At 36.1% G+C, this 13,658-nt stretch overlaps 1 protein-coding gene across 11 annotated transcripts in view; it reads left to right on the top strand.

Moving 5' to 3' along the window:
* Positions 1–13,658, top strand: part of NAALADL2 (N-acetylated alpha-linked acidic dipeptidase like 2) — a 1,369,567-nt gene that overhangs the window by 292,112 nt on the left and 1,063,797 nt on the right. For 9 of the 11 annotated variants that reach the window (XM_017006077.3, XM_047447876.1, XM_017006075.3 and 6 more), the window contains one exon: positions 4,548–4,653. The gene's annotated coding sequence lies outside the window, so the exon portion shown is untranslated. Of the gene's footprint in view, positions 1–1,792; positions 1,863–4,547; positions 4,654–13,658 lie in introns of all 11 variants that reach the window. The other 2 variants (XM_047447877.1, XM_017006071.2) reach the window with 1 other exon arrangement.

Here is a 13,658-nt window from a genome sequence, read left to right on the forward strand (position 1 = left end):
TATATATGATCTGGTTGGAGTTTATTATGAAATATCAAGTGGGAGCTAGTGGTAAATGTTGGTGTGACACTTAAGTGAGATAATCATTAAGTTTCTTCTAGTCGCAGTATTCTGATTTTAGGTAACGCTTAAAAGGTCCACAAAGAACTAATTCAGGCAAGTTTTTCTGCAACCTGAGGAAAAAAATCACATCTTTAACAATGAATTTCAATGTAAGATACTAGAGTTCATTTCATTTAGTAAAGAGAATCCTTAATGTTGGGATAGGAAAAGCAAGGATCAGTCAAAGGCATTATGTTAGACAAAAGATGACATGACTTTTCATCTGTCTAACTCAATCTATATGGTTTGATTTTTAATCACATGCATGGATGCAGATGGCAATATGCCATTTTAATCCAGTTAGGTGCCAAGAGAAAGGTTAGGAAAAGAGCCCCATGTGGCTTAGCATTTCTTGTGATTTGTAGCTTGAAGGCTTGAGCTTCTTTGTGAACATGTCTCTGCCTTTTTTGTTAAGGCTCTTTCTGTTACCGAAACACCAGGGGTTCAGTTTGGGTCCTGCTGCTTGCCACGCAGAAAGTCAATTACTAACACAAGTATTGCCATGGAAGAAGGATTGAATGGGGTGCTGCAGCTGAGGAGATGGGAGATCAGTCTCAAATCCATCTCTCTGACCTACTAAAATTAGGGGTTTATGTAGCAGGGAAGAAATGTCACAATGTGTGGCAAAACAGGAACTTGGGAGGGTTAAGAGCAATCATGATGAATGAGGGGTCTGGCCTCTCACTTTCTGGATGTGGTGATCTGGTGGGTTTCAGTTCTTTGATACTTTTTGAGAGGCCTGGTGGGGGGTCCTTTCCTGAAGAAGAAATTCAGGTAAAACAAATGTAAGCTTCAAGCTTTAAGACCAGAAGGGTCAATTTCCATATTTATCCAGAAAACCCCAAAACCTGTCTATGGGACTACTGGGTTGGTTTCACTTTTTCATTTTCGGTGTTGAGGGGGAGCAGAAACCCACATTTGTACTAAAATTATCATTAATTTCTTGCATACCCTTACCCATGAATAGAATCTTGAGGCACTTAAATAAAATTTGAGAATTAGGTAGTGATTTCCAATCCTCCTCATTCCATATTTCTTTTATTCTCCACAAATGAGATAATATTAAATGTCCTGAATTATGTGTGTGTATAGGCAGGTATGCACATGTGTGTATCCATACTAATGTGGTAATAGCATTATTGAACTAAAGAGTTTATTTGAAGATTGAGCTGCTATAGCAAAATCCCACAGACTGGGTGGATTAAACAACAGGAATTTATTTTCACCAGTTCTGGATACTGGGAAGTCCAAGATCAAAGTTCCAACCAGTTTTCAAGGGCTCTCTTGCAGATCGTCTCCTTCTTGTCAGGTTCTTACATGGCAGAGAGAGAGTGTGCAAACTCTCAGGACCCACCTCCAAATATTATAACATTGGAGATTAGGGCTTCAACATACGAATTTTGGGAAAACACCAACATCCGGTCCATAACATTTGAGGATAGGTAAGTCTAGGTTGCATTTAATTCATGTATTAGCCTAGTTAGGTTATCCTCATCAAGCAGTTCTTTCTTTGTGAGAAAAGAAAGAAGATTTAGATAGCACTTCTAAATTGGTGAATTTACAAGATCTACCTTAAGCACCTTTTTCTCTAAAAGCAGAAGGAATTTAAGACAAAAATTCAGAATTATTATTTTATTCTGTATTTTGGTAGTTGAGAAATTTATGACACATTATTATTTCTTATGTAAAGCTTAAGGAAGATGGAAGATATTGAAATGAGTGTGAAAAACTGAGGAGGAAGGAAACTAACTTAACAGAGGGTAAGAATTTTTTTCTAGTCACAAGCTTGTACAATACTACAAGTTAATCTCGATAGAAGGAAATAATAGCTTATTTTGGGTTAAGTAATTTCGAAAGGAGAATAAGAACACTTTATAGCTTTCAAGTATCTCAAAACTAAGATAAAAATATTACAATAAAGAGAGTGAAGCACAAATAAGTAGCTTCATAATTCATAGCATTATTACTTAATATCACAGCCTGTTAATATGAAATGTAGAATAACCAATCTTGGTATTGGAAGATATAAAAGGAAAAGACTCAATATCTTAAAATAACATATAATTATATCAGTCATTTATTGAGCACCTAATACATGCTGGGCAATGTGTGGGGCACATTACATACCATGTCTCTAATTCTCACAATAGTTCTGCAAGTTTTCTGTTTTCATTCTAATTTTAAGGTGAAGTAATTGAGACTTAGAGATTCAGAAATTATCCAAGACCATACAGGTATGAAGAGAGAAGCTTTCAGTCCTAGATATGCTCTTTCTAATACACATCTCTTCCTTTGTTTAATCCTTTTTTCCCAAAGAGATACTAAGTTACTTCCTTCCAGTTACGTATTTTCTCCTTCATATTTTTTTGTTGTTTTGTTTTTGAGGCAGGATCTCACTCTGTCACCCAGGTTGGTGTGCAGTGGTGCAATCACAGGTCACTGCAACCTCTACCTCACAGGCTCAAGTGATCCTTCCACCTCAGCCTCCCAAGTAGCTGGGACCACAGGCATGCACCATCATGCCCAGCTAATTTTTTATTTTTATTTCTTGTAGAGATAGGGTCCCACTGTTCCAGGATCCTCAGGGTGATGCTTTTCTGTTTGGAAACCTCTGGCCAGCAGCGCCTTTGCCAGAGTTTTGCTCAGGTCCACTGGGCTCGTTCTGCCCACTTGACCTGGCAGGCTGCGCTTGGCTCACACTACTGGCCTGGATCCCATGCTTGCCAAGGGTGAACAGAGTGGTGAGGGGTGTGTGAGTGAGCAAGCATGGGGTCTGACCAAGCACACTGGCTGCAGTGGGGTGGGCAGCTCCAGGCACTGGCCTGGGTGCTGGCTCCCTGTGAGGCTGCAGCTGGTCCAGGTGTACTGCAAGCCGCTTCCATGGCTGGCACCAGGGAACATGGTGATGCCTGGAAGCTTGGAGATACCAGGAACCTCAGAGCCCCAGAGAGAGTGTCACAGCCCTGGCTCAGGGAGTTCCTAGGTCTAGGAGGTCCACAGCTCTTCTCTTCTTTCTTTTCTCCTTCTTGTTGCCTGCAATGTGGCGAGCAAGGGGCATGTTTCGGCCCTGTTAGTGTTATACCTCCTTTACCCCTGCCATTCAGTGGGTCCTGAGTTCTTGTCCTGTGTCCAGGTAGAATGAGGTGTGAAGACAAATGGAGGGTGAGCAAGGTGAAGAGGAACTTTATTGAGCAGCAGAATAGCTCAGAGAAGACCCACATTGGGTAGCTCCTCTCCACAGGCAGGGTGTCCCAACAAGTGTTCAGCTATCAGCAGAGAGGAGACCCTGGAGTGGGTAGCTCCTCTCCACAGCTGGTTGTCCCATCATCTCTTCAGCTTTCAGCAGAGAGGAGACCCTGGAGTTCCTGTCTGTAGGCAGGTTGTCCTGTCATCTCCTTGAGTCTGGCTGAGTCCGGGGTTTTTATGGGCTTCAGTGGGGAGGAAGTGCATACTGATTGGCTCATGGGCAGCCTTTCGTCGGCCTGGAAAAAGCACCATAGTTCCCATTCTGGTCCATCAGCCCAGCCCCCAGGCTTCAGGCCATCCTGGCTTGAAGGTGCAGTTTTACCGGGGAGCCGTCTCTTTCCACCTAGGAGCCTGTCTGTCTTCCCTTGCCACCCAGGCTGTTTGTGCTGAGGGGCCCCTGCAGTCCTATGCTGAGCTTCCCTCAGCCCCCTCTCAGCCTTCTTCCTGTGCTTGTTGGTGCCCAAAGTCTGGAGAGGGCCAAGGCAGCAGGGTGATTGTGTGTCAGTGCTGCCCCAAGCCTGCGCACACCCAGCCAGGTTGCAACAATGTTCAACTTTGCCCCATGATCAAAGCATGGGCAGCTGCAGCTGTGACTGGAAGGGTGGGGGTCCTGCCCTGCCAACTCAGGAGGGTGGAGATTCCACCTGTTCCTGGCTCCTGCCAGGCCATGGGGCATGCAGCCCTAGCCACGCCTCCCCTACTGTAGCCAGTGTCATGGCAGCAACCTCTCCAGATGGGCTGCTGCTGCCAACACCTCTATATTCCCCAGGCAGGTCTCAGATTCCTGGGCTTAAGCAATTTCTCCTGCCTTGGCCTCCCAAAGTGCTTGGATTACAGGTGTGAGCCACTGTGCCTGGCCTGCTTTATCTTTTGTTATGTTTAGCAGTGTGTGGCACAAAGTGTGCAATTTATGCTTGCCGAATTGATTGAAATGTAAACATGGAAAAATGAAATCAAGGGAGAAAAGTATTTGTGTGTTTTTGTATACATTTGTTGTTAAGGTAAAATGGTATGCTTTAAAAATAAAAAGTCTATACATTGTTGACTTCCAAAAGAAGTGAAAAATTTGTCTGCTTACAATAAAATGAACTGATAAAGTTATGCTAAGAAGCATTAATCAAAGAACAAAATTCAAGAGACAATAGATAAATTATCTGATGCGGTTCCCAATTTAACTCTGGTTTTTGATTTATGAACAGGAAATGAGCATTGACTATTAGGCACCTGGATGAAGACTGGGTCCAGATTGTCAGTCTCCTGTAACCTGCAGAAGCCCTCCAGTTGCACTAGGAACATTCAATTGAAGTAAGACCTAATTATTTTAATTAGATTGTAGGACTTTCATTCTTGAATCAACTTTTAATAAGGTGACTTCATGTATTTCTATAGTGTGCCAATAGCTGCTAATTTTGAAAAAAGAAGACTGCAAGCATTATTCTGTGGCAAAATTTTATGTATTCCAATTTTTATTTATCTTTTATTTCATGGGTTTAAGCCCATTTTCTTTGGGTAGCATTATATAAATATTTTAATTTCTGTGTGGCTGTTGAAATTGGTACAGTCTTCTTGTCTTGGTGTGTATCAATTCTCTGTCTATAATTGTAAATGTTATGACTAATAAGATTAAGTCGTGTTTTTGGATTAAGTCAGCCTAGTGATTTTTATTGAAAAATCACAACAATGCAGTTGGTGCCATGATACCACATGGCTTGCATAACTTCTTTATTCCAAGTTCATACAGATTTGTTGACCTTTTGGAACACTTCTCAGTACACGGCCATATATAGACTGTGAACTTCTGTTCATACATTATGGCTTAATACGTATAAAACTTTAGATGATGTGGATAATGGAAAGGCACAAAATAATAACATAGAACCAAGAGCTGAGACATTTGAGCAGAGCCAGTATAACCACCAACACACTTCAGGAACATAGACAAATCTTTTAACTCTTCTGAGTCATCTCTTGCTTTCAAATGTAAGGAGTTAGATTAAATAAGGGAAAGGTGGCCAATTCCTATGCCTTGGAGGGTCAGGCAAGTAATGCAGATTTAGGAAGTGGCTGGGTGTGAGACAGTAAAAGCTGGTAGGCCTACGGGGAAAGAGACTGTGCCTCTTATGAAGCCATTAAGATTCAAGTGTTTTAAAATGGTCAAAGAAATAAGTTGGGGAGGAGCCCTGGAAAAGGGTAGAGAGGGGGGAGGGTTGAATTTGGCCTTGAGATTGAATTAATTTCTAAGGTTATTTCCACTCGACACATGTCTATAGAATTTTGTTACTATGTAAACACTTATTGCCTAGCATTTGTTGAGCTCCATTTCTGTTACTTTCTAAGTAATTAAAACTAAATAAGTAAAAATTAAACCATTTTTGGTTTGCATTTCTTTGAATTTTATAGTACATTTGGGGAAAAAATTACTTTTTGACCATAAAATGCAATATTACATGATGCATCAGTTTAATCTTTTTTCTGAGGCTTAAAAAATTATTTATCTAGAATGAGAACTTCAACTCTAGGACTGACATCCAAGAATAAAACTAGCCTGTAAATTACTGATTAGCAGCTTATTTCTTAATTTGTATTTTCTTTTTATCAACAGTCTAACGAAAATATTTCTTCATATGGAAAAAAATTAAATTGGTAGCTTAAATAGGTATATTTTCTAGCATAATATTCTAACTTCATCAACTCTTGCACTTTTATTTTCCTTTATTTTATTTTTTACAGCAGTGGAGTGTATTCTTTTTTTTCACATTTTACTGCCTTTTGAACCTATATTTTACCTGAGAAAATAAGTACATTTTATCAGATGGTAATGGTAATTAGGCAACAGGCTTAGTGGAAGATGCGAAGTTGGCCAAGACAGTATACTCTTAGAATCTTGTCTAATGTTTTGGCTCAGTTTAAGTCAGAATTTATGTCTACAAGAAAATCGGATGAAGATTTTAGGGAGTCACATGTGTTATTTTAATGATAAAGAGAGAATTATAAGGAGCTAGGATCTCTATGGTTTCATTTGGGCCCTTCCATTGTCTTTTTTCTTACCTTTATTACTTATAGAGCTTTTCAGTTCATGATCGTATGTAGACAGATTTGAGTTACTTCAAGTGTGATCATTTTGAGAACTGAGTATATTATACAAAGCATGCAATGTCTTTTAGGTGGGTTTTTCCATGTGTTAGTAGAAGCTGTTACTGACTTAATTATATTCCCCAAATAACATTTTAAGAGGCTTTTGCTTTGGATGTCATAGTCCAGCCATGTTGGCCATGTTGTAATGATTTTGAATATTTGCTTTCCAGTTCTTTGATAGCCAAGCCAACCAGGAGAATTTCAGTATTAATGTCAAACTGATCAGAAGTGGTTACATCTATTTCTTGACTGACTTACATCTTGTATTAGCAAAAAGTATTAGCTCTTTTTAAATAAACATTCATTCTGTCTTCCAAAGATTGCACACACTGTGGAAAATAACAATAAACATATAAATGAAATGTTAGCAGTTAAAGTAAAGCTATTTAAGGAGGCTTTCTAGTGATGCCGACTTGTATCTTATTACCTTGTTTTATAAAAGCATTTTGTAAAACAAAACAAAACAAAACTTCAAAAAGTGCCAGTGTGATTTAAGCATTTTCTTTAAGAAATACATTCATATGCTGATTTTCAATATTTTGTTAAAACATAATGCATGTGGGCAAGGTGGACATGTAAGCAACAAACCTAATTTTTTAAAAAAATTGTCTTTTGAGGCTTAGAGAATTAAGGAATGCCTCACCCACTGAACCCATTGTTGAGCTCACTGATTCCCAACATGAAAATAAATTAACACAAGCATCTAGATTGAGGTAGTTAATTTTACCTTTCTTGTCTGTGCTCCTTATTGGTGATTGTAAAACTAAAAACCCTCAGACCTGAATTCCTTTCATGCTATGAAAAATCTTCTGATATCCATTTAACATAAATTCACCTTTAGCATTTGACATTTATTAGTCATGGCTTTCAAATGAAGTGTTTAATTAAAATCAAAGTGCCATTGTTTTTAATAATCCAGAAAGAATGAGTATGAATTAAATTTAGAAAAATGTGACAGTGGCTTTAAGAGTACTATAGCTCCTGTGTGAATATTGCAGTTGTTTGAAAATTTTCATAAAATACTCTTATAATCAAAATCTAATTTAAAGTTTAATGAGGCAGTAAAGTTGAGATATTCACAAAGAAACCAGAATAATAACGGTAAAAATTTAGCCATAGCTAAGTATAATCTAAGCAAAATTTTCTGGTCAATTAGCTTTCATTGTGCTAAACAGTGACAAACTACAAAAGTAATTAGAAATCACATATTAGTGAGTGTCTAGATGCTGGGGCTAGTTAGAGCCATTTTTATGCTGCCAGAGATTTTCTAACACTTCTTGAGTCTCTTTAAACTAGGGTAGATTAAATTATAGGAATTCTTATTTTTATGAAAAAGTTCTCACTAAACTATCCAATAAATTTGATTTATCTCAGAATGTACTGTTTGCTGTTTTATTTTCCTTAAGAGGTAGACTTTGCTTTGGGTTCAAACCAGTGAATAAATTAGAACAGTTAAATGGTCTAATGGTGATAATTCAATAGGAAAATAAAATCTGGTTTCATATACAATCTTACAGCACTCATGATCTGTACATTTCTGAACCAATGGATTTAGGTAAAGAGTCTTGCTGATATTCTAAGTCTTATCCAAATACAGAAGAAAATACCGAAGAAAACTGACGGCAAATGTCTTGAGGTACTTTTCATTATGTCCTTAAGTTCATCCCTCCGTCAATGTAATTTTACCTAAATAATGTTTTCTGAAGTGAATTCACTCATCATGAGATTGACTTTATTAGGAAGACTCAGTCTATTTGTTTAAAATGCATTTTGATAAAATTGTTGAAATATTTTTGGCTTCAGTTACATAATGCACTTAAATAATATAAAAAAGCATACAACTTAATTAGGTAAAATAAATATTTAAATGTAATATACTATTTCAGGTAGAAATGGTAATTTTTGTATTATTATAACCTATCCTTGGAACTGAAATTATATTGTTATTTTTTATATTTTTAAGAATCTTCTGTCCCTCTCAGAGGACAAGCTTGTAGCGGTTTTCTTTCTAAAGGTATAAAAGAAAAAACAATATTCATATAGTGAATAAAAAGCCATGAAGAGCTGAGTAATATTTTAAAGGGGAAAAACTCCAACTCATTAACTTTTTAGCTTTATATAGATAAATTTTTAGCCTAATTTTGTAAGTTTTTGAAGATCTTTGCATATAGCTCTTGCTATAAATTTCAAAGATATCAACTTTTAATCATATTAATAAGTTTGACAGCAATTCATTTAGTGCTTGATGCTGAAAACTATCTTTACACAAGCGGTTTCCATTTCCTTATATAGCTGGAATAAATCTGTAATATTTCATCTGCAAATATGACATATGGTCTCTTGTTAACTTACATGGAATGCATTTTATACTTTTTGCGTATGCACTGCCTTCTTGTCCTTGGAACATGTTTTTATATTATTCTTTCCAAATGAACTGTTTCTAAAATTGATTTTTTTCAAACTGAATGTTCACCTTTTAATTCAAGGTGGTACTGATGTAAAACTCACTCTTATTTCTCTCTTTCATAATAAAATATTTCTACCCTAGGTAACATACTAACATTTTAAATAAAACTCTTTAAAATTTTTCAAGGACCATTTAATAAAAATATTTATGGTGAGCCTATTATGTGTTAAGATACTATTTTGGGTAGTGGCAGAATAAAGGTGAATATGCTACCATAGTTTTCCTCGGGATGTTCACTGTCTAGTGGGGGATACAAAAACATTACAATACAGAGTCATATTGTAATGGTATATAACTGGCAATAAAAGAATTCTTAGGTAAGATTATTGTTTTTTACATCAGTTTATTTCCAGCCCAGATCAGTCATGGGCTTCAGGTCAAATAACAGTGTGGTCAGTTTTTTAGAGCCAACCTAGTACCTATTCATATCATGCCAGACCAAAAAAGTCAACCTATAACAAATAACATATAATAAATAATCATATGCGTATGCAATACTTTAACATTTAAAGCACAAAAAAGAGTATTTATTGAAAGTATGTATTATTTCATATTATTTACTTTTCTGTTACATAATTGCTCTATTTAAACAAAATTACACTAGGATATTTAAAAGTGACACCTACTAGTAATAGGAGGATTAAACAAATGACATGTGTGAGAAAAATATAACAATATTTTAATGATGTTTCTGTTTTTTAATGCATTTAAGTATTTAAAACTTTTATTAGATACTTAAATTTTGTAGGGTGTATTATTATGAATTTTTAAGATAGACAAATATGAGAATATAAAGCAAGAATGTAAATACAAAAGGACTGTTATTTAATACAAAATAACAATGATGTGTTTTTTTTGTGTCTCATCATACAATAGGATATTTTCACTCTTTGTGTTGCTCTGAACTGCCTGCAGCTTCTGGGTCATGCTTTTTTCCTTTTATGTAATAGTAAAGGTGAATATAGTCAAATATATAATTCACTTTTATTTGTAGCTCTGTTCTCATCAAGCCCACATTCACTAATTCCTGGTATCAATCTGATGTGATAACATCAAAGTAAATATCCTATCAACGAAATAAGTTGACTGCTTAGGATTTTGCTTCCAAGAAGTGGCGTATGTTTAGACTTGTTGGAATTAGAGTCCCGATCTGTCTATCCACTTTATATCTACAGGCTTCTTTCAGTAGACTAGCTGTTTCTCAACCGGGTCTTTTGTTTCTCTGAATTTATCAAATGGATAATCCCTGTCTAAAATATCCATCATTTAAACGTCTCCAGAGCACGTTTTATACCATTGTAAGTGAAACCTCTCTGTTTCTGAGAAAACGGTCTTAAAGCACACAGGTCATTTGAACTTGTAAAATTGAATTGGATTCCAAATAAAATTATAGTTTTACTAAATAAATAATGAAAAAGTCTTCTAACTTGGCTATACTTTTCTGGTAACAGTTTTGCAGTTTTGAATCAGAATATGTATTTTTGCCACAATTTAACCTCAAACAACTCAGATGTCATTAGTTCTTTCTTTTCTAGATTCCATTATTAAAGATGTATTGAACTCTTTTAGAGAAACAGCATATAATGTCTATTTTATTTTAATATTTTCTTCATTATTATCCTCAATGTATTTCCAAATTAGAATAGAATATTATGTTTAGTTTCATACTTTGAAAGTCAATTATGACTGGCCAATGTTTTGACACCTTTTCTACAGCCAGTAATAATAATAACCATCTTACAGGCATAAGTCTAAAGAACATATTTTTTTTTCATTTATATAAATTTAGAATCTCATCATGTGCTTCTGCACATTTTGAGGAAATTGAAACATGAATAAAAGCTTTCATTATGTAATTCTCAATATCACAGGTAGACAAATCACTCCCCTTTTAGCAGTGTTGTATACAAGGAGTGCAGGGTATTTAGCAGGAGATATTTTTTGCATTTTCTTTGGTCAGAAGTTTATACATTGATTAAGTTTGTCAAAATTTATACTCACACTGTCTGCCAAACCTGCAGATAGATGAGTGTGGTAGGCAGAATAGTGGCCTCATAATGATGTTCAAGTCCTAATCCTTGGTACCTGTGAATATGTTATGTTACATGATAAAGAGAGATTAAGGTAGCAGATGGAATTAAGGTTGCTAATCAGATGACTATAAAATAGGAGATAATAGCCTGGATTATCCAGGCGGGCCCAATGTAATTATAGGGTCCTTTAAAGAGGGAAAGAGAAGACTTATGTCAGAGTGATGTGATGTATGAGACTCAAGCAGCCATTGGTTGCTTTGAAGATTAAGAAGGCCACTAGCATTACATAGTGGTAAAGGGATCAATTCAACAAGAAGAACTAACAATCCTAAATATATATGCACCCAACACAGGAGCGCCCAGATTTATAAAACAAGTTCTTAGAGACCTACAAAGAGACTTAGACTCCCACACAAAATAGTGGGAGATTTTAACAGCCCACTGTCAATATTAGGCAGATCATTGAGACAGAAAATTAACAAGGATATTCAGAACTTGAACTCAGCTCTGGATCAAGTGGACCTGATAGATATCTTCAGAACTCTCCACTGCAAAACAACAAAATATACATTCTTCTCAGTGCCACATGGCATGTTCTCTAAAATTGATCACATAATTGGAAGTAAACACTCCTCAGCAAATGCAAAAGAACTGAAATCTAACATATAATCTCTCCGAACACAGTGCAATCAATTTAGAAGTCAAGATTAAGAAACTCACTCAAAACCAGACAACTATATGGAAATTGAACAACCTGTCCCTGAATGACTCCTAAGTAAATCATGAAATTAAGGCAGAAATAAATAAGTTCTTTGAAACCAGTGAGAACAAAGATACAATGTACCAGAATCTCTGGGACACAGCTAAAGGAGTGTTAAGAGGGAAATTTATAGCACTAAATGCCCACATCAGAAAGCTAGAAAGATCTCAAATCGCCATCCTAACATCACAACTAAAAGAACTAGAGAATTAAAAGCAAACAAATCCAAAAGCTAGCAGAAGACAAGAAATAACTAAGATCAGAGTGGAACTGAAGGAGATAGAGACACAAAAAACCCTTCAAAAAATCAACGAGTCCAGGAGCTGGTTTTTGAAAAAAATAATAAAATAGACCACAAGCTAGACTAATAAAGTAGAAAAGAGAGAAGAATCAAATAGACACAATAAAAAATGATAAAGGGCATATCACCACTGACCCCACAGAAATACAAACAACCATCACAGAATACTATAAACACCTCTACACAAGTAAACTAGAAGATCTAAAAAAAACTGATAAATTCCTGGACACATACACCCTTCCAAGAGTAAACCAGGAGGAAGTCGAATCCCTGAATAGACCAATAAGTTCTGAAGTTGAGGCAGTAATAAAGAGCTTACCAACCAAAAAGTCTGGGGCCAGATGGATTTACAGCAGAATTCTACTAGAGGTACAAAGAGGAGCTGGTACCATTCCTTATGAAACTATTCCAAACAATTGAATATTGGGGACTTCTCCTTAACTTATCTTATGATGGCAGCAGCATCCTGACATCAAAACCTGGTAGAGATACAACGACAACAAAAAGAAAACTTCAGCCAATATCCCTGATGAACATTGATGTGAAAATCCTCAGTAAAATATGAGCAAACCGAATCCAGCAGTGCATCAAAAAGCTTATCCAATACGATCAAGTCAGCTTCGTCCCTGGGATGCAAGGCTGGTTAAACATACACAAATTAATAAATGTAAGTCATCACATAAACAGAACTAAAGACAAAAACCACATAATTATCTCAAAGGCCTTCAATAAAATTCAACCTCCCTTCATGTTAAAAACTCTCAATAAACTAGATATTGGTGGAACATATCTCAAAATAGTATGAGCCATTTATGACAAACCCACAACCAATATCATTCTGAATGGGCAAAAGCTGGAAGCATTCCCCTTGAAAACTGGCACAAGACAAGGATGCCCTCTCTTACCACTCCTATTCAACACAGTATTGGAAGTTCTGGCCAGCACAATCAGGTAAGAGAAAGAAATAAAGGGTATTCAAATTGGAAGAGAGGAAGTCAAACTGTCTCTGTTTGCAGATGACCTTATCTTATATCTAGAAAATCCCATTGTTTCAGCCTAAGAGCTCCTTAAGCTGATAAGCAACTGCAACAAAGTCTCAGGATACAAAATCAATGTACCAAAATCACAAGCATTCTTATACACCAACAATGAACAAGCAAAGAGCCAAATCATGAATGAACTCCCATTCACAACTGCTACAAAGAGAATAAAATACCTAGGAATATGGCTAACAAGGGATGTCAAGGATGTCTTCAAGGAGTACTACAAACCACTGCTCAAGGAATTAAGAGAGAACACAAACAAATGGAAAAACATTCCATGCTCATGGGTAGGAAGAATCAATATTGTGAAAATAGCCATACTGCCCAAAGTAATTTATAGATTCAGTGGTGTTCCCATTAAACTACTATTGACTTTCTTCACAGAATTAGAAAAAAAAAGCTTTAAAATTTATATAAAACGAAAAAAGAGTTGATATAGCTAAGACAATCCTAAGAAAAAAGAACAGAGATGGAGGTATCACATTACCTGACTTCAAACTATACTACAAGGCTACAATAACCAAAACAGCATGGTACTGGTATAAAAGACACATAGACCAATGGAACAAAA

Source organism: Homo sapiens, chromosome 3 (genome assembly GCF_000001405.40).
Source record: "Homo sapiens chromosome 3, GRCh38.p14 Primary Assembly".
NCBI classification, from domain to species: domain Eukaryota; kingdom Metazoa; phylum Chordata; class Mammalia; order Primates; family Hominidae; genus Homo; species Homo sapiens.